This window comes from Homo sapiens, chromosome 1 (genome assembly GCF_000001405.40).
Source record: "Homo sapiens chromosome 1, GRCh38.p14 Primary Assembly".
NCBI lineage: Eukaryota > Metazoa > Chordata > Mammalia > Primates > Hominidae > Homo > Homo sapiens.
In genome coordinates, this window is record NC_000001.11 from 219860263 (window position 1) to 219883484 (window position 23222).

At 37.8% G+C, this 23222-nt stretch overlaps 1 long non-coding RNA gene across 2 annotated transcripts in view; it reads right to left on the minus strand.

The window, feature by feature from the left end:
- The window catches only part of LOC105372926 (uncharacterized), a 198874-nt gene that overhangs the window by 174838 nt on the left and 814 nt on the right, over window positions 1-23222 (minus strand). The gene's annotated exons all lie outside the window — the stretch shown is intronic.

The window sequence follows — 23222 nt, forward strand, 5'->3', positions numbered from 1 at the left end:
CTCTGTCCTAGCCTGAACCATCTACCCTGCAGTTCATTTCTACAGAACCCCTTGCCCTGGTACACTAAGCCCCTCTAGCCCAAGTCCCCAGCACACCTCAGCTACATTTGGGTCCAATTCATGCCTCTATAAGCAAGGGCATCTCCAGAAAGCTACGACTTAAGGCTGCTCCTCTGTCTCACAACACTGAGCTACTAAGCTGACATTGCCTTTCCAAAGTTTGATGTAGGAGCAGCCCTTGAGACTTTCTTCTTTCAGAGAGTGAGGAAGGAACCCCCTCATTTACTGGTGTTCCCTTTAGCTTATCTTACACACCTCTCCGTTCCAGAGCATCATCCAGAAAGGATGAATAAAAACCCACAGGTCTAACCCCTTCCTTGCTCTCTTCCCTTCCCTCTTTCCACAGCCCCCAGAACCTGAATGTCCTCTATTATCATTATAGCTAAGCCAATGATCATAGGGGGAAAGTGTCTCTTCTTTATAATACATTAATTCTAGGAGCCTGGGCCTTGACAAATTAAGCAGAGATATAAAAGAATTTAGAAATATCATTATTATGCCAGAAGTTGAATATTCCTTCTCCCCCAGACAGAAAGAAGCCTCAGACCAATTAGGGAAATCAAGGACATAATTTCCATTGCCCTCATTAGAATTGACCAAGTGATATTGAAAAGTAAGGATGTCTCAGAGTGCAGAATCAAGGGCCAGAGGGTACAGCCAGGAACCACTCCAAAGAGCAGAAGCAAGGCCAAATCAAGACACACTCTTCACTCCAAGAGAACCTGTAAACATTTCTCCATTGGGATTTCAGAACTGTCATGAAACAGTGGCTGCTATGTGCCTCCTCTTATTGAATGGGAATCTTTATTGTGGTTGTTTTGTTCCTATTCACCATTGCACATTGGGTATGTAGGGGAAGATAACATGTCTTTTTATTCTAAGGGCTTCAGACCAAAAGGAGATGCATCCAAGAAACCACTATAGACCTGATATTGATCATAACATCCCGGATTTTGAACCTGATACTATGGTTGTATAAGACCTTGAAGAACCTTGAAAGGGTGAGAATGTGTCTTGCATGTGGATAAGATGTAAATAATTCTGGCTAGAGGATATAAAATGATTGATTGCCAAATTGGCCTTCATTCTCCACTTTCCCTGTATCTACATCCTTTGCATGTGACTTTGAGGACCCTCACATCATGAAGTGTGGTCTACTCCCACAGCCGTTGAATCTGGGCTTGTCTCATGCCTTGTTTTGGCCAACAGAATGCAGCATAAGTGACATGTGCCAGTTCTGAGCCTAGGCCTCAACATCCATACTTCTACTCTTGCACCTCTCCTTTGCCAGGAGAATAATCCTAGGATGGCTTGCTGGAGGATGAGGTGCTATGTGGACCACAGCCAAGCAACTAAGTCCCCAGATATGTGAGAGAGCCCAGCTAAGATCAGCAAAGCCATCAGCACTGAGAGTCAGCACTCACTTGCTGCTGACTCTCAGTGCATGAACAAGCCCCCAGTGAGCCCAGATAAGCAGAACTGCTCAGCCAGCCATAATCATGTTGTCAAAAATACATGTTTATTATTGTATATCACTGAGGTTTTTTGGTGGTTCATTATGTAGAATTATTGTGGAAATAACTGATCCTTGGATTAAAATGCATCAGCAGAAATAAGAGGAACATATACAGAAGTGGATATTGAGGGTGTTATACTGGAGAAGAGGGGGCTGGGTAAGAAGAATATAAATGTGGTTCAGGGATAATTCTCTGATATGGGACCACTCATCTGTTCTTCAGGATTCAAAGCTCCAGCAAGGAACAATAGTTGTTCCTGAGAGCTTGCTGGAATGGCTCTTCAAAGACTGAATTTGACAATAGCTGACAGTAAATGAAGTTGAAATGTGAGAATTTCTTGGGCACTGAAATAGAGAGATTAGAAGCCTTGGAGAGGTAGAAATGTCATTTAAAACCTGAGAACCTACCATATTTCCACATTCTCTTGAGAACCCAAAAGACACTTCCCTTGCTAAGACAGTAAGGAGTATACTGGTGAGAAGTTCAGCAGTGACTCTGCAAGCCAGAATTGGTGGTAGGACATACTGATATGAAATAAGATTCCCTAGTATCCATAAAGAAGATGAAATTTCAGAATAGCAGATCCCAGGTAGCAGCACTTAACTACTGAAGCAAGATAGATATAATTGTACCTTAATGGTCAGCAAGCTCAGAGCAGCAGTCAAGTTCCATAAGACATAGGGATTTAGAGTGAAAGTAACAGATCACAGTATTCTTAGGGGCAAGATTGATGGACAGCTCCTAAGACACTGGATAATTTCTGGTTATATAATAGGAAAAAAATGAAGAGATGATAACCTGAAGGCTCATAGCAGTTGCTCACAATGAAATATCACAGTTGCTCATCCAGTGTCCTGATCTAAATCTCTTCACAGGCCCAGAGCCCACTGATTGAGGACAAAGACGGGTCCCTTTGAGGATCAACCCTGTAACCACTGCACAGATATGTTCTAAATATTCTTTCCATCCTTCCCCCAAGAAGACTTGCAATCATTTGACAGAGTAACTACAAACTTCCAAACAAAGTGGAAAGGCCAGAATTTTTTTAAGGACAAGTGTACACAGGATCTCAGCTGTTTTTGCTACCAGCTGCTTTGGGCACTATGGTCCTCTGGTTATAACATAGGCTTATGGGGCTGGGCTCGGTAGCTCACGCCTGTAATCCCAGCACTTTGGGAGGCCAAGGAGGGTGGATCACAAGGTCAGGAGATCGAGACCAGCCTGACTAACACGCTGAAACCCTGTCTCTACTAAAAATACAAAAAATTAGCCAGATGTGGTGGCACGTGCCTGTAGTTCCAGCTACTCAGGAGGCTGAGGCAGGAGAATCGCTTGAACCCGAGGTGGGGGGGTTGCAGTGAGCTGAGATCGCACCACTGCACTCCAGCCTGGGCAACAGAGTGAGACTCCATCTCAAACACACACACACACACACACACACACACACACACACACACAACCAAAAAAAACATAGACTTAATGGAAGCCAGGTAATAAATGGAGTTCTGGCCCAAGTCTGTCTCACAGTGACTCCACTGGGACTATGCAATTTTCAGCTGGCAGAATCCTCACACTGGTTCCCTCACCTAGAGAGTAAGAGTTATTATGGCAGGAAGAACAACATGAGAGCTCCTGAAACTGAAAGGCAGCAAATCAGAAGCTATATTGAATTATTGGAGGGACAGCCAAGATTATCCTCACCATCGAAAACCTGAAGGATGCAAGAGTGGTGAGCCTTGAAGATGGCCGAATAGGAACAGCTTCGTCTACAGCTCCCAGCATGAGCAATGCAGAAGACGGGTGATTTCTGCATTTCCATCTGAGGTACTGGGTGGATCTCACTAGGGAGTGCCAGACAGTGGGCGCAGGTCAGTGGGTGCGTGCACCATGTGCGAGCCAAAGCAGGGCGAGGCATTGCCTCACTCGGGAAGCGCAAGGGGTCAGGGAGTTCCCTTTCCTAGTCAAAGAAAGGGGTGACAGACGGCACCTGGAAAATCGGGTCACTCCCAACCGAATACTGCGCTTTTCCGACGGGCTTAAAAAACGGCGCACTAGGAGATTATATCCCACACCTGGCTCGGAGGGTCCTATGCCCACGGAGTCTCGCTGATTGCTAGCACAGCAGTCTGAGATCAAACTGCAAGGCGGCAGCGAGGCTGGGGGAGGGGCGCCCGCCATTACCCAGGATTGATTAGGTAAACAAAGCAGCCAGGAAGCTCGAACTGGGTGGAGCCCACCACAGCTCAAGGAGGCCTGCCTGCCTCTGTAGGCTCCACCTCTGGGGGGCAGGGCACAGACAAACAAAAAGACAGCAGTAACCTCTGCAGACTTAAATGTCCCTGTCTGACAGCTTTGAAGAGAGCAGTGGTTCTCCCAGCAGGCAGCTGGAGATCTGAGAACAGGCAGACTGCCTCTTCAAGTGGGTCCCTGATCCCTGACCCTCCAGCAGCCTAACTGGGAGGCACCTCCCAGCAGGGGCAGACTGACACCTCACACGGCGGCGGGGCACTCCAACAGACCTGCAGCTGAGGGTCCTGTCTGTTAGAAGGAAAACTAACAAACAGAAAGGACATCCACACCAAAAACCCATCTGTACATCACCATCATCAAAGACCAAAAGTAGATAAAAACCACAAAGATGGGGAAAAAACAGAACAGAAAAACTGGAAACTCTAAAAAGCAGAGCGCCTCTCCTCCTCTAAATGAACACAGCTCCTCACCAGCAATGGAACAAAGCTGGATGGAGAATGACTTTGACGAGTTGAGAGAAGAAGGCTTCAGACGACCAAATTACTCCGAGCTATGGGAGGACATTCAAACCAAAGGCAAAGAAGTTGAAAACTTTGAAAAAAAATTTAGAAGAATGTATAACTAGAATAACCAATACAGAGAAGTGCTTAAAGGAGCTGATGGAGCTGAAAACCAAGGCTCGAGAGCTACGTGAAGAATGCAGAAGCCTCAGGAGCCAATGCGATCAACTGGAAGAAAGGGTATCAGTGATGGAAGATCAAATGAATGAAATGAAGCCAGAAGGGAAGTTTAGAGAAAAAAAGAATAAAAAGAAACGAGCAAAGCCTCCAAGAAATATGGGACTATGTGAAAAGACCAAATCTACGTCTGATTGGTGTACCTGAAAGTGACAGGGAGAATGGAACCAAGTTGGAAAACACTCTGCAGGATATAATCCAGGAGAACTTCCCCAATCTAGGAAGGCAGGCCAACATTCAGATTCAGGAAATACAGAGAACGCCACAAAGATACTCCTTGAGAAGAGCAACTCCAAGACACATAATTGTCAGATTCACCAAAGTTGAAATGAAGGAAAAAATGTTAAGGGCAGCCAAAGAGAAAGGGTTACCCTCAAAGGGAAGCCCATCAGACTAACAGTGGATCTCTCGGCAGAAACTCTACAAGCCAGAAGAGAGTGGGGGCCAATATTCAACATTCTTAAAGAAAAGAATTTTCAACCCAGAATTTCATATCCAGCCAAACTAAGCTTCATAAGTGAAGGAGAAATAAAACACAGACAAGCAAATGCTGAGAGATTTTGTCACCACCAGGCCTGCCCTAAAAGAGCTCCTGAAGGAAGCGCTAAACATGGAAAGGAACAACCGGTACCAGCCACTGCAAAATCATGCCAAAACGTAAAGACCATCAAGGCTAGGAAGAAACTGCATCAACTAACGAGCAAAATAACCAGCAAACATCATAATGACAGGATCAAATTCACACATAACAATATTAACTTTAAATGTAAATAGACTAAATGCTCCAATTAAAAGACACAGACTGGCAAATTGGATAAAGAGTCAAGACCCATCAGTGTGCTGTATTCAGGAAACCCATCTCACATGCAGAGACACACATAGGCTCAAAATAAAAGGATGGAGGAAGATCTACCATGCAAATGGAAAACAAAAAAAGGCAGGGGTTGCAATCCTAGTCTCTGATAAAACAGACTTTAAACCAACAAAGATCAAAAGAGACAAAGAAGGCCATTACATAATGGTAAAGGGATCAATTCAACAAGAAGAGCTAACTATCCTAAATATATATGCACCCAATACAGGAGCACCCAGATTCATAAAGCAAGTCCTGAGTGACCTACAAAGAGACTTAGACTCCCACAAAATAATAATGGGAGACTTTGACACCCCACTGTCAACATTAGACAGATCAACAAGACAGAAAGGCAACAAGGATATCCAGGAATTGAACTCAGCTCTGCACCAAGCAGACCTAATAGATATCTACAGAACTCTCCACCCCAAATCAACAGAATATACATTTTTTTCAGCACCACACCACACCTATTCCAAAATTGACCACATACTTGGAAGTAAAGCTCTCCTCAGCAAATGTAAAAGAACAGAAATTATAACAAACTATCTCTCAGAACACAGTGCAATCAAACTAGAACTCAGGATTAAGAATCTCACTCAAAACCGCTCAACTACATGGAAACTGAACAACCTGCTCCTGAATGACTACTGGGTGCATAACGAAATGAAGGCAGAAATAAAGATGTTCTTTGAAACCAACGAGAACAAAGACACAACATACCAGAATCTCTGGGACACATTCAAAGCAGTGTGTAGAGGGAAATTTATAGCACTAAATGCCCACAAGAGAAAGGAGGAAAGATCCAAAATTGACACTCTAACATCACAATTAAAAGAACTAGAAAAGCAAGAGCAAACACATTCAAAAGCTAGCAGAAGGCAAGAAATAACTAAAATCAGAGCAGAACTGAAGGAATAGAGACACAAAAAGCCCTTCAAAAAATTAATGAATCCAGGAGCTGGTTTTTTGAAAGGATCAACAAAATTGATAGACTGCTAGCAAGACTAATAAAGAAAAAAAGAGAGAAGAATCAAATAGACACAATAAAAAATGATAAAGGGGATATCACCACCGATCCCACAGAAATACAAACTACCATCAGAGAATACTACAAACACCTCTACGCAAATAAACTAGAAAATCTAGAAGAAATGGATAAATTCCTCGACACATACACCCTCCCAAGACTAAACCAGGAAGAAGTTGAATCTCTGAATAGACCAATAACAGGCTCTGAAATTGTGGCAATAATCAACAGCTTACCAACCAAAAGAGTCCAGGACCAGATGGATTCACAGCCGAATTCTACCAGAGGTACAAGGAGGAACTGGTACCATTCCTTCTGAAACTATTCCAATCAATAGAAAAAGAGGGAATCCTCCCTAACTCATTTTATGAGGCCATCACCATCCTGATACCAAAGCCGGGCAGAGACACAACCAAAAAAGAGAATTTTAGACCAACCTCCTTGATGAACATTGATGCAAAAATCCTCAATAAAATACTGGCAAACCGAATCCAGCAGCATATCAAAAAGCTTATCCACCATGATCAAGTGGGCTTCATCCCTGGGATGCAAAGCTGGTTCAATATACACAAATCAATAAATGTAATCCAGCATATAAACAGAACCAAAGACAAAAACCACATGATTATCTCAATAGATGCACAAAAGGCCTTTGACAAAATTCAACAACGCTTCATGCTAAAAACTCTCAATAAATTAGGTATTGATGGGACGTATTTCAAAATAATAAGAGCTATCTATGACAAACCCACAGCCAATATCATACTGAATGGGCAAAAACTGGAAGCATTCCCTATGAAAACTGGCACAAGACAGGGATGCCCTCTCTCACCACTCCTATTCAACATAGTGTTGGAAGTTCTGGCCAGGGCGATTAGGCAGGAGAAGGAAATAAAGGGTATTCAATTAGGAAAAGAGGAAGTCAAATTGTCCCTGTTTGCAGACGACATGATTGTATATCTAGAAAACCCCATTGTCTCAGCCCAAAATCTCCTTAAGCTGATAAACAACTTCAGCAAAGTCTCAGGATACAAAATCAATGTACAGAAATCACAAGCATTCTTATACACCAACAACAGACAGACAGAGAGCCAAATCATGAGTGAACTCCCATTCACAGTTGCTTCAAAGAGAATAAAATACCTAGGAATGCAACTTACAAGGGATGTGAAGGACCTCTTCAAGGGGAACTACAAACCACTGCTCAAGGAAATAAAAGAGGATACAAACAAATGGAAGAACATTCCATGCTCATGGGTAGGAAGAATCAATATCGTGAAAATGGCCATACTGCCCAAGGTAATTTACCGATTCAATGCCATCCCCATCAAGCTACCAATGACTTTCTTCACAGAATTGGAAAAACTACTTTAAAGTTCATATGGAACCAAAACAGAGCCCGCATCGCCAAGTCAATCCTAAGCCAAAAGAACAAAGCTGGAGGCATCACACTACCTGACTTCAAACTATACTACAAGGCTACAGTAACCAAAACAGCACGGTACTGGTACCAAAACAGAGATATAGATCAATTGAACAGAACAGAGCCCTCAGAAATAACGCCGCATATCTACAACTATCTGATCTTTGACAAACCTGAGAAAAACAAGCAATGGGGAAAGGATTCCCTATTTAATAAATGGTGCTGGGAAAACTGGCTAGCCATATGTAGAAAGCTGAAACTGGATCCCTTCCTTACACCTTATAGAAAAATCAATTCAAGATGGATTAAAGACTTAAACGTTACACCTAAAACCATAAAAACCCTAGAAGAAAACCTAGGCATTACCATTCAGGACATAGGCATGGGCAAGGACTTCATATCTAAAACACCAAAAGCAGTGGCAACAAAAGCCAAAATTGACAAATGGGATCTAATTAAACTAAAGAGCTTCCACACAGCAAAAGAAACTACCATCAGAGTGAACAGGCAACCTACAAAATGGGAGAAAATTTTCGCAACCTACTCATCTGACAAAGGGCTAATATCCAGAATCTACAATGAACTCAAACAAATTTACAAGAAAAAAACAAACAACCCCATCCAAAAGTGGGCGAAGGACATGAACAGACACTTCTCAAAAGAAGACATTTATGCAGCCAAAAAACACATGAAAAAATGCTCACCATCACTGGCCATCAGAGAAATGCAAATCAAAACCGCAATGAGATACCATCTCACACCAGTTAGAATGGCAATCATTAAAAGGTCAGGAAACAACAGGTGCTGGAGAGGATGTGGAGAAATAGGAACACTTTTACACTGTTGGTGGGACTGTAAACTAGTTCAACCATTGTGGAAGTCAGTGTGGCGATTCCTCAGGGATCTAGAACTAGAAATACCATTTGACCCAGCCATCCCATTACTGGGTATATACCCAAAGGACTATAAATCATGCTGCTATAAAGACACATGCACACGTATGTTTATTGTGGCACTATTCACAATAGCAAAGACTTGGAACCAACCCAAATGTCCAACAATGATAGACTGGATTAAGAAAATGTGGCACATATACACCATGGAATACTATGCAGCCATAAAAAATGATGAGTTCATGTCCTTTGTAGGGACATGGATGAAATTGGAAACCATCATTCTCAGTAAACTATCGCAAGAACAAAAAACCAAACACCGCATATTCTCACTCATAGGTGGGAATTGAACAATGAGAACACATGGACACAGGAAGGGGAACATCACACTCTGGGGCCTGTTGTGGGGTGTGGGGAGGGGGGCGGGATAGCATTGGGAGATATACCTAATGCTAGATGACGAGTTAGTGGGTGCATTGCACCAGCATGGCACATGTATACATATGTAACTAACTTGCACATTGTGCACATGTACCCTAAAACTTAAAGTATTAAAAAAAAAATAAAAAAGAGTGGTGAGCCTTGTTATAGCCTCATTCAATTCACCTATCTGACCTCTGTAAAAACGAGATGGATGGTGACAGATAATGATGGACTAACATAAACATAACTAGATGATAGCCCAAACCATGGCTGCCATGTTGAATGCTGCATCTTTACAGGAACAATCAACACAGACCCTGTCACTTTGAATGTGTTTGTCAATGTGATGAAAACATATCAATAGCCAAAAGCAAGGATCAAAACCAGTTTATCTTTACATAGCTTGTTTCAGGGTAAAGTTAATTGTCCTGCTTTCTGTGATAATATAGTCTACAGGGATCTTGATCATCTTGACACTTCACAGAACTTTGCCCTGACCCAGTACATGTATAAGATTATACCAACTGGATCTCGTTCACAGTAGATGGTTGGCACAAAGATGCTTCAGTATAGAGCATCTTTTTCAGGTTTCTCAAACTTTTCAGGTATCAGAACTCTCTTTACACACAAAAATGACTAAAAACACCCAAGATTTTCTGTTCTTGTAGGTATTTACCTTATTAGAAATTAAATTAAGGTAATTTAAAATATTTTTTAAATTCTTTAGATATAATAAACCCAATACATGTTAGCATAAACATATTTTAAGAGAAATGATCATATTTACAAAGAAAAAAATTTGTGAGAAAGTGTCATTGTTTTACATTTTTGGAAATCTATTTAATATCTGGCTTAATAGAAAATAGCTTTTATCTGCTTCTGCATTCAATATGTTGTTTTGATTGAAGTCTGAAGTGTATGAAAAAAATGTGGCCTCACACAGATTTGCAGTTGGAAAGGGGAGGAGTTTTTTAATAGACTTTTCAGACAATTGTCAATATTCTTCATTGGTAAAATATACCAAAACACAATAAAAGATCATTTCTGTATGGTTAGTTGCAATGCAGAATCTGAAACCATACCAATAAGCTCTCCATATTCTGAAATATTAAAAATCATTTGCCCATCTTGCACTTTAAATGAAACTTTTACCTACGTATGATTTTGTAATAACCTTGGTTGCATTAATCAGGGCTCTCTAGAGAAACAGAACCAATATATAGATATAGATATAAAGAGATTTATTATGAGGAATTGGCTCATGCCATTGTAGAGGCTGAGAAGCACCATGATCTGCTGCCTGCAAGTTGAAGAACCAGGAAAGCCAGTGGTATAATTCCAGTCTGAATTCTAAGGCCTGAGAATCAGGGAAACCTATGTTATGAATACCAATAAATTGGAAAATATTGATTCTTTGAGCTATGCAGCTATTTCAAATATTGATGCATTTCAATATGCAACATCAACAAATCAAATTCATTAATATCCCAACCACTCTTAGGAAAATACAGAAATATGGGCTCAAGATGGGAGAAACAAGTTCTTCAGAATACTAATTTTTACTTGAAAGGTTAAATTTTATCATTGCTAATAAATACTGTCAGTTGTTTTCCTTGAAGTGACACACTCACTTTTTTTAATTTCAAGAACATATCTGTGAAATACCGAAGTATGAGGAACCATAGTTTGTCTGTCAATCGTTCTTTCAAATGAAAATGGTATTTCCTGAAATGCAGTTAGTGAACTGGCTAACTAGTTAGATTGCTCCCTCACACCTTACATCTAAACAGATAATGTTTAGTGTTATTCGGGATACAGGGAAACAGGAATGTTAATAAACTGCCGCTGAGAGAGGAAACTGGTACAATTTCCAAAGGAGTATTTGGCAATATGTATCAAAGACACTTAGATCAGAAATTGGTCAAAATAGTTGACTTGGCTGGGAGCAGTGGCTCATGCCTGTAATCCTAACACTTTGGGAGGCTGAGGCAGGAAGATGCCTTGAGCTCAGGAGTTCCAGACCAGCCTGAGCAACATGGCAAAACCCTACCCTGTCTCTACAAAAAAAAAAAAAAAAAAAATTAGCCAGGTATGGTGGCATGTGCCTGGAGTCCCAGCTACACAGGGGGCTGAGATGAGAGGATCACTTGAGCCTGGAAGGTGGAGATTACAATGAACTGTGATCGTGCCACTGCACTCCAGCCTGGGTGACAGAGTGTGTGAGACTCTGGCAAAAAAAAAAAAGGGTTGACTCCTAAGAATTTTTCCTAAATAAATAATCAAGAAAGGAGTCAACAGTATAAACAACATTTATAGCAACGTTTGTTTACAAAAGCAAAAACTAAGAAACAACCTCAATGGGCAGCCTCTGTGAATCAGCTAAGTAAATTATGGTACCTCTATACAACAGAATCATTAACACGTTAAAACATACTGTTAAGTAAATACAGCAGGTTACAAAACAATGTGGGTTTTTCCCTCCCTGGGTCATTTAGAACTGTGTTGCTTAATTTTCAAATATGGAGAGGTTTTTCAGATAATTTTCTACTACTAATGTCTAATTTAATTTCATAGTAGTCAGATAACATACTGTGTATGAAATCAAGCTTTTTAAATTTACAGAAACTTGCTTTCTTGCCCAGCATATGGTTTATCTTGATAAAAATTTATGTGTGGTTGAAAATAATATAAATTTTTTGGAGGGATGAAATGTTCCACAAATGTCAATTAAATCAAGTTGGCTGACAGTGTTGTTCAGGTCTTCTATATACTTGGTGACTTTCTGTCAATTTCTTCTATCAATTGTCAAAAAGCAAATGTTGAGGTTTCCAACTACAACTGTGTTTGCTTACTGCTTCATTTCTGTCAGTTTTTCCTCTGTGTATTTTGAAGTTCTGTTATTTGCCACATACACATTTAGAATTGTGATGTCTTTTTGATTAATTGCTCCCTATACTATTATGTGAAGCCTCTTTTTTATTCCTGGTTATATTCTTTATTTAAAATCTATTTGTCTGGTGCTAATATAGCCACTCTAGCTTTCTTAGAAGTGTCTGCATGATATGTCTTCTTCCATCTTGTATTTTTTACCCTATCTGTATCTTAAAGTGTATTTCTTATAGATAACATACAGTTGACTCTTGCTTTCCAATCAACCTATAGATGACCAATACCAAATTAATCTGTGTTACTAAAAATCAAAAATTGTGTCTCCCTAGTCTCATTTGGGGTCGATACTATAATTCATCATAACTCAAATATATCAATGCCCAATATGTATATGAGGTAAAGACAATGACTCATCATTAATAATGGCTAATAAACAGAGATATTTCTAACTAACACTTTCTTTTTTTTTTTTTTTTAAATTTATTTTTTTATTGATAATTCTTGGGTGTTTCTCACAGAGGGGGATTTGGCAGGGTCATGGGACAATAGTGGAGGGAAGGTCAGCAGATAAACAAGTGAACAAAGGTCTCTGGTTTTCCTAGGCAGAGGACCCTGCGGCCTTCCGCAGTGTTTGTGTCCCTGATTACTTGAGATTAGGGATTGGTGATGACTCTTAACGAGCATGCTGCCTTCAAGCATCTGTTTAACAAAGCACATCTTGCACCGCCCTTAATCCATTTAACCCTGAGTGGACACAGCACATGTTTCAGAGAGCACAGGGTTGGGGGTAAGGTCACAGATCAACAGGATCCCAAGGCAGAAGAATTTTTCTTAGTGCAGAACAAAATGAAAAGTCTCCCATGTCTACTTCTTTCTACACAGACACGGCAACCATCCGATTTCTCAATCTTTTCCCCACCTTTCCCCCCTTTCTATTCACTGGTTTCTCTTCAGACCGAATAAATCTTTCGCCTTTTACTAACTAACACTTTCAATTATTTAAAACAAAAGGCAAGCAAAGTTCACAAAACTAAACTTGTTCAAAACATAGTTTCCATATCATTAGGAGATATACCTAATGCTAAATGACGAGTTAATGGGTGCAGCACACCTGCATGGCCCATGTATATATATGTAACTAACCTGCACATTGTGCACATGTACCCTAAAACTTAAAGTATAATAGTAATAAAATAAAAATTAAAAAAAAAACAACAACATAGTTTCCTTTATGACTCCCAGGATCTCAGGCCAGCTTAATCCATTTGACATACTGAATTAACACCTTAAGTGAGTCATTGCATTTTATAAATCAATTGGACATCTAGCCTAACATGATTAAAGTTAATCTCATTGGTAATGTTGACTTTTAAAATTCTGATTATTGCCCTACTCCCCTGTTTCTCTGAGCTATTTTAAAACTGTTTTATCTATCAATTGCTCTGCTGTATTTTGATGGTTAATGAAACAGAATTTAATACACTCAAGCCACGTCATCTAGGTCCGACCAACCATGGTACCATCTCATGGGGAAAATGGCCTTAAACTGAGCTCATTTTGATACTTCAGTGAGAAAACCTGACTATCCTGGGGTTCATGATTCTTTATAACAAATAGTCATTCCTAATGCAAATGTTATGTACCAAAAGTTTGCTTCATCTTCCCATAGTAGTGGTGTTAAAAATGGTGGCTAGTTTCCAAGGCTAGATCACATGAACCTACCTAATGGAAGATAAGCCCCAAAAAGGAAAGTGTCATAAAAAGAAGTATTGTAATTTCGATATTAGTACTTAAATATATTGAGAAAGATAAAATTTCATTTTTAAATGTTGTCTATTCATCTTAAACATCATGGCTGGGCTCGGTATCTCACGCCTGTAATCCCAGCACTTTGGAAGGCCAAGGAGGGCAGATCACTTGAGAACAGGAGTTCAAGACCAGCCTGGGCAACATGTTGAAACCCTGTTTCTACTAAAAATACAAAAATTAGCCAGGCATGTTGGCATGCACCTGTAATTCCAGCTACTTGGGAGGCTGAGGTAGGAGAATCACTTGAACCTGGGATGCGGAAGTTGCAATGAGCCGAGGTCACACCACTGCACTGCAACCTGAAAGACAAAGCAAGACTCCATCTTGAAAACAAAAAACAAATCGGTGTTGAATAATGGAAAGTTTAAATATAGAAAAATAAAAAGACAAATGGGGGGTTTCTGTATAAACACTTTTGCAACCTTCTGGACACTTGCAAGATATTACAAGGTTAATGAACGTTTCTTCATTACACATATTAACTCTAGGAGTTTTGACTTTGCTCTTCCTAGACAGAAGTGTTGCCTAATAATGCTGCTTAAATGATACATTTAAAAGAAGACACTCCAATTATGCCAGTTACTGTTATTTATGTGTTTGTCTGGCAGCTAATATGTTTTAAAACAAATAATTTTCTTAATTTTAAAATATGAATTTGAAGGTCTTATTAAATAAAATGCAAGGGTTTTAGCTGAATTTCTATCCAATTTCAGCATACTCAAGGTTAGAAAGTCATTAATGAAATCCGTTTTAAAACCCTATGTATCGAGGGGAAAATCTTTAAACACACAAACATAATATTTCCCATGAAAAAGATATCAAGAAAAGCAACATTTATCATAGTCTAATTTCTAATATATCCTAATGCTTTTTATAAACATGACAGAAAGTTATCTCCTAATATAGGGTGAGTTTATTCCTTTTCTCTGACTTTTGTGGAAGTAGAAAAATAAAGAGTATGTACGGCTGCCATCACCATTGTTAATCAAGCATGAATCAACTATGAGACTGGCTAATTATTTGTAGCCAGGTTTCTTCCACAATGAGTTCTAGGCAGCTCTTAAATGAATTTATTAGGCACCTCCCCCTCAAGATTTTAATGCCTCATAAACACAATGATGAAGATGTCTCAGTCATACTGAAATGAAATGAAAAGCCTACTTTAGATGAGGATCTATTTTCATATATAAAAGCAAAGTTATAAGTGAATTTAAACTTTTGGTATTTATCCAGATTATCCTCTCTGTAGTCCTGTCTTCTTGCCCAGCTGCAATTAAGAGCTTCCCTATTTAGGTTTCCTATTTTGTTAAAACCAGGAAACTGATCTACAGAAGGAAAACAAACTCCATCAAAACACATTATAAGTTCAACTCAAAACAGCACTGCCTATGAATCCTCAGGGTTGCTGAACACAACTATTCTTCTTCCCTGTCATAAGCCTCAAAAGCACTCCAAATACTGCATTTCAGCAGCCTCAGATGTTGACCTTTGAAGGCTGAAACCTCATCACACTCCAGGCTTGGGAGTACTGAGCCTTCAGCTCTCACCCAAGGCAACTGAGGCACGCACCAGAAGCCCTCATTTGTCTCTCCGGGAAGTCAATATTAAACCCTATGCTTTTTAGGACATATCATCTCCAACCTGGTTACATCTATTTCATCCTACCAGAAAAAGCCAGCGAATTGAAATGTTAAAAATAATGACTACTGCACATTTAGCTATGCAAAATGAGATATCATTCCAGGGCTACAGATATCATTGCAATACGGCAGGTCTTTTATTTTTTATTAGAGTAATTCAAAAATATTATATGACTTTATTATTTTATGATCTTTGAACCCATGGACCTCCTCCTCCCTCGTTACATGAACCCATTAAACCTTCCCAACATCACTGGACTGGTGGCAAGTTTCCAGTTCAGTTGCCCTGCACAGCGTACTTGTGATAGACATGGTGAAACTATTTATTGGTGGTCACCAAGTTCAGCTGGGAAGGTGGACTGGGTGGCAACTTTGCAGTGTGATATCTAGAATACTGGGAATGGTGGATACCTCCCTTCCACCACTCCAAGAAAAGATCACTTCCTCCAGAATGGGCAAGGACTAGGGTGAAGCAAGTAAGGCACTGAACTTGGGGGTAGGAGGGTAGCGTGCAGAATTTAAGGAGGTGTCCAAAAACTTAGTAATTAAGATAAATAACATTTTGATGCAATCTTTTCAAAAGTAAAAAATTAACACAGAGAAATCATGATGAGGGAAATATCAAAAATTTTAATAAAAACTGAATTAGAGCCTGCACTTGCATGATTCAGCCTCTCTCCTCACCTAACCCTGGCCCTTCTGGACCGACCTAGTGATCCCAGAAATTTCACACTTCAGAAGCCCCTCTTTTTACATCATTGTCTATAATGAACATGCAAATTTCTGAGAGGAAGCAGCGTATTAAATCTCAGCAAATTATATATAATATAATATAATACGTCATAACATTATAGGCTAATGTTTATTAGCCTACCAACTGCCTTCCAGAAAACAGATTTTGAGGGGGCTGGAAAGAAAACAAGGATTACTGGTTCTCTGTCTTTGGGGTACAACAAATGGGGCAGCAGCAAGTTAAAGCCCTTTCTGTTGCTGATTTGTCCAAGACTAAAGCCACCGTTGCTGGTTTCATACTCAAACAAGATTTCATTTGCTGTACATTCTAGATCCTGGACATACGGGGGCGCTTCCAGGCCACAGATAAGGCTTAGAATGACTTTCTGCTTTTTTAACTTCCAAAATTCATTAGACTCTGTTGCAGCCCCAAGGAAAAAAGCGTAGAATTTTTCTCGGCAGATATATTCAGCCCTTATAGGTTTTACAGCTGCTGTGTATTTATCTAACTATGGAGGATTTGTAAAAAATGCCTCCAATTCAAGAGGACCTATAAAAACTTTCATAGTGCTACAAGGTGAGTACTATGCAGTCATAAAGAAAAATGATGATGATGATGATAAGGCTACCAGTTATTTTTGCCATGGCCATCACTTCAAACAACTTCATAATTTATAGGATGAGTTATAGTATTTTATCTGAATCTACAGTCCCTTAAAATTATAAAGATGCTTATCTTAAACATCCAATAGATTACTTTTTAAAGTAATTGTAAGGAGTGACTCAGACCACCAATGCCAAAAATTACACAACAAATAAGAATTTATTTTGTAATAAATTTTGTTCAAAAATTTTTTGTAAAAAACAGTTCTGTTGCTCCAATGAGATTTCCCCTTCTATATCTAAATACATATTCTCTCTCTCTCAAACAAACAAACAAAAAAATTGTTTATTATTAAATTAAATTCAGTACAAGTTTATGTGTTAAAAATATCAAATAATCTCTTGATTGGAGATTTTTCTCGTTTCAAAGTGTCTAAAGATGAATGAACGTGGTGTTCATTTCTTAACCTTTTCTGTTTTTATTTTTCCTGATCCTACAAAAAAATTTGCAAAGAACATATTAAATACAGATCTTCTGAAACTAAAGGCTAATTTTAAGCTTTGATGCTTAAATGGAAACAAAGTTATTTTCCTAGGAGAGAGATAAATGTTTAATTCAACTCTGGAAAATTCATAGACTATCCCCAAAGTGAAATGAACAAGGTCAGGTCATGCCAGTAGGAATGCAATCCATGACTGTATATCAAGGAAGGAAGAGCTCATACTGATCATTTACAATCCTACAAAACTAAACTTTTAGACACAATATGATTTGCCTATGACATAAGACTTCATATAAAAACATAAAATAATGCAGAACGGAATATGAAAACAAATTCAAGAGATAAAAGGATTGATGAGTGTCCCTACCTATGTTGAGAGAAATTAATTTACACATCCATGTTTTGACTTTGGCGTCCTTAAGGAAATAGAGGCAACATGTATGTGTATATAATATACACTTTTCTTACAGTAGAGATTATGTGAAATGCAGAGGATGTTTCAGGTTGATGAAGATGAAATTAAGGTGCTTAACAAATATCAATAAATGTAATACACTAATAGGCAAACTCTTTAAAAAATTATAGGCTGTCGAAACGCTAGGAAAAGAATTTCCTAGAAATTATTTAATGGAGGGGGGATAAGCACCATTAAATTGAAAATTTGAGAAGAACTTGGACAATTTTTATGTTGATTTTTAGATCACCTCTTATGCTTTCTTTATGCTAACAACTTAGCTGGTTTCATATTGCCATATACTAAAATTTTCCATATCAAAAAATTACTAAGATAATGGCTAATCAGTTGTTCATTCAAATGTTTCCTTTCTTTGTTCTTACACTACACATTAAAAAACATGAATGACTGCTCAGACAAATTCAAGCTCCACACTTAGATATGTGTAAAATAGCCTACTCCTTTTAAATTCAACCTTGGAAATGCTAGTTGTGCTTAGATTAATCCTTTGACAAACCTGTAAAATAGAAAGCATGACATTAGCTCACATGGGACGTAATTCTAGACCAAATTTCAGAGTTCTGTAGTCACTATGTTGGCACTTAATTAAGGAGTAGGCTCTTCAAAAATACCTTCCAAATCAATCTTTTCCAGAAATGTTTCTCTGCATCTTGAGAATTTGCAAAGTTCTTGTGCCACTTATAAAAACAGAAATATTCTATTTACTAAAGGCTAGAATTTGAAAAGTTAGCATTTGATATTAAAAATTCTTCATTTTTTTCCTGCAAGAGTTGAAAAATTAACTCCTTGTGACTGAATACATTAATACACTAATGTATTGTGTTATATGTTTTTATAACTGTTACAATCTAAACAGAAATCAGAAAGATTATTTTATTTATGTATAAAATTATCAAATAACTTCAGATTTTTGGAAGACAACTAAAGGGAAAAATATTAAGGAAATATAAATATTGAATTGCAATACAACTAATTAGGTAAGCTGATAAGTTGTTCACAGTTTAAAATGTTGAGCCATTCAGTCATAGTCATTGTAAAGACATTTCGCTCTAACTAGGACATTTTCAAAACAAAACTAAGTATAGCTCCATTATTCAACTTAAGGGCATTAAATGAGAAAATGCAGAATGTGTTCAAAAAATTTTAAAGGACTATCCAACTTTGTAGGATGCAAAAAACTCAGGACTTCAGGAATAAACAGAATACATAGAAAATTATCCTGAAAAGTGTAAATGGAGAGACGTTGACAAGGCTATTACAACTGACCATTCCTGAACTGAGAGAAAATTGTTCTGAGGATTACATATTTTTAGCTTTTAATGTCACGCTAACCTATTCCAGATGATATGATATTTCTCATGAGAAATACTAGATTCCTAAGGAAATAAACAAGGTGTTTAAGAAGAAGACATTGAATTTTATATTCTTTAATTTGTTTCTAATTCATTTTATACATTTAGAAAAAAATATTGAGCACACAAATTCCATGTCACTTTCATGTTAATTTGATGTGTAAGTTATGTTACAGGACACAAAATTGATACTATGAAAGTAAATAAATGTGCTCAAGTTAAGTATTTAATTTGTAACATTCTTATTATTATACCAAATATGTTATTGGTTCTACAAGAGAAAAGTTAAATCACTGAAAAAGTACATTGAAAGTTTGGCAATCAAATGTTTTCTTTTAAGTATATTTCAAGTTTGAAATTGATTAGTGAGTCTCCTATTTATTAACTACAAATTGAAAATTGCCTCCTTTAAAGAGTGCCAGGCAACCATGACTAATCTAAAAGTTTTAAGAAATGTAATGAGATTATGATATCGGTAAAAAATTTGTAATTAAAAGTTTATTTGCCTAACAAATACTCCTACAAGCAATAACCACTATCAATGATTTATTTTCTTTTAGCCACTGCAGCAAAATGTTTGGTTGATGTTCTCAGCCATCTTGCAAATCGAAAGTAAATATCTACATAGAATTACATTTATCTCAACGCTGTTACTGTGAAACTAATAACCATATAAAATGAATTCATTTTTTCTCTAATATAATGAAATACCTGCCTTATTTACAATGTTTATTATTTGGGTGATTTTTTAATGGCATCTACATCTTCACATTGTTTTTTCTGTGAATTAAATTATGTGTCCCAAACAAAATTATATTTGTTCAGGGACTAGTTAAAGATGAATGGAAATTTTCTATATTCTGAAACGTGAAGAGACCTTAATACTCAAGATTTCAGTCTATCTCTTGGAAACTTTTTGTAGTCTTTCTAGAATAAAAGTACCATAAAAATTATTACCTTAATGTCCGAAATTCTTTATAGCTATTGCTGTAGCTGATCTTTAACAGAAGAAAACGTGAATGAAACAATGACCTAATCAATAATGTAGCAAAAAGTGCATGCACAAACTCTAGGTCCCTTTTAAGTTATTTTGCTTTTCTCTCTGTCTGATGCCAGTTTTTTATCTGACTTATTATGTGAGCTTTTCTGTGTGCACTTACAGTGAATAGTAGCTGCTAAAATGTATAGATAATGATTGTCTCTCCACATTTAAATGGTAAATTCCAAACAGAAAGTTAAAGGTAATTTACTGGCATTATTGCCTGAATCCTTTCTAACCCCTTGGGATTAAGGATAATAAGAAAGACTTTATCACAATAAAAGTGTTTCAATTTTTTTTCAAAGCATAGATTGTGAGAGCTAGGTCATCAATGATATTTGAGGATAATCAACATTTCATACATTTGCTGCCATCTTTTGAGAAGCAGTGTTAGCCTCATAGTCAAGAGTGTGAGCTCTGGAGCAAGACCACCTAGGTTCAAGTCCTGGCTCTGTCACTTACTAGCTGATGAATTCAGGCACATTCATTTCCCTATGGTTCAGTTGTCCTCATCTATCAAAGAGGAATAAATGATGATGACCTCATCATTCAATGACCTGCCTCATTGAATCACTGTAGGAATTAAATGAGTTTAAACTGTGAGAACACCTTAAGACAGGGAATGTCTGGAATGTACTAAGCACTCTATATGTGTTTACTGGTTTTTAAAAAATTACATGCTTTTTGTGAATTTGCACTTAATCTTATCAGAGTAGCAGTTTTATTATCCCAATCTTGCAGATGTTGGGTATCATCACTCTGCCTTTGTTATCACTAGTCTTTAATACCTTATCACAGCAAAAGGCAATAACTAGGAGCTCCAACTTTTCTTTCAGATTTTCCTCTTCCCTTTGCAACTGATTAACTGTTTAAGTCTTACTGTGAAAAACCAGCAAGGAACAACTCACTTGTGCTTTTGCTTTTAGCAACTGGGTTGGAGATAAGATGACCATGATTTATGATAAAAAAATAAAAGTGCTTAACCCAGACATCTTATTAACAAATGTGGTTACTGTTAAGACATGTAATTTTTTTTTCTGTTATCTTATTCACATGCCATGAAGAATTCCAGCTCGGAATTAGGGTTTTTCAAGGCATGAAATATCTGACAGTAAAGGGTCAAAATAGAAAAGTATATACTCCCCTGTCAAATAATATTCCAAAATAATATTGGAAAGTATCAGACAGGAATGAAAGTATCATTTGTTAATTCATTCAGGACATATTTAATGATTTCCCATTATTTCACAGGGCAAACTGGAATTCAAAGCAGAACTTATAAGAGTGGTAAAACTTTATAATAGTGTCTAGGAGCAATTTTGTGAGCTCAGATTAAACCTTTTCATTGTCACCAAGGAGTCAACCTAAAAGCCTATGAAAATGATGTTCATTTTGTATTCTACCCTTACAAAGTTCTTATAGGCCTATAGTAACAGCTATGACTCCTGACCCCCGCACCAAAAAGTAAGGCACACGCTTGGACTAAGTCGGTTAGGAATAGGAATGGATAAATAATGGGGCAATACAAAGATCCCTGGTCAACTTCACAGTCTGTCATCTAGGTGCTCCGGTTTTTAACATCTTCTGCAACCTTCGGGAAACAGAACAGATCATCGCAATCTACTGTTTTTTTTTTTTTTTCCTCTAAGAAAATGCCCATGGAAAAGTGCTGGATGTCTTGCAAATCTGTTATCGCAATGCAAAATCACACCGAGTTTCTTTAAGAATCACAGTGCATTCCCTCTCTCCCAGAACTAAATAAAGCCTGCCTTGGGAAGCAATTCAAAACTGGAATTCTGCTTCTACATTGCTCAGTTACCCAGGCAGCTGAAGCCTTTGAACAGGTCTCAGAAAGTCCCTCAAATACAGTCTTTTTAGGTCAAATGAGAACAGTCCTGTTAAGTCATACACTAATTCCTCTCTACAAACAGAAGTCTGGTTAATTCTCAGGGAGCTAAGAAAAAAAACAAAGATCCTCTTTCTTCCAGAAAAATTTTTTTTCTTAAAAAAACTATACCATTATGGTTTTTTTTACTTAAACTCTAAGGACAAAATTTTTTTAAGACTTCCATTGTTGATTAAAATAATATTTTATTATAATATTAAGCAAATATGCAAAAACATAAAATTAGGTTATATATTTTAGATCATTTATAGCTCTAAAAAGAAACACATTTTAAAATGTAATGCCAACAAAAAATTAAGCGAATGACATTACTTTAATGTGATAAATCATATTTTGCTAAAACAAAATCCACTGCCCACAATGTAAACATGGTGCTGACGTTATGATGGAGAAATTTCTGGATTAGCATGCCCAAATTATTATGTACTGGGTGATGAATTCATATTTCTGTATCTACCCTCTATGTAAACTGGAGTTCTGAAGTAAGGCTGCCTTAGTTCAAATCCCAAAGCTGTCACTTCCTATGTTCTGAATGTGTGACGATGGGCAAATTACTTAACATCAATGTGCCTCAGTTTCCACATCTGTAAACTGGTCATACTAATAATAACACCTACTTCATAGGGCTCTTGCGAAGCTTATGGGGGGTAAGCATAAAGTACCTGGTATACAGTCAGTACTCAATTAATATTAATTATTACCTTTTATTACCTTGAGCTCTGCATAATAAGTCTGCAAAGACTCAAGCCTTACTTCAATAGACACAGCAGACAATGGGTAGTGGAATTTCAACTTCCTCAGGGAAAAAGGAACTAGCCCAAACCAGGTTTTTTACATAAAGCCACCGGCTTGGTTTGCACACACAAGAATGAAGGCTGGAGTTACCACGAGAAACAAGTTGCTTTTTTGGAAAACAGGTGAAGACGCACCCACCACCAGACCCTGCTCATGGACTGGGACTCAGACTGTAATTTCCCAACATGAAAGCCACTGAAGTAAAACTGCTTCTGAATTGGGGTCACCTGCACCATCAGTTTCTTTTCTACTGAATTATTTCCATCCACATAAAAGTATCACTTAATATTTCA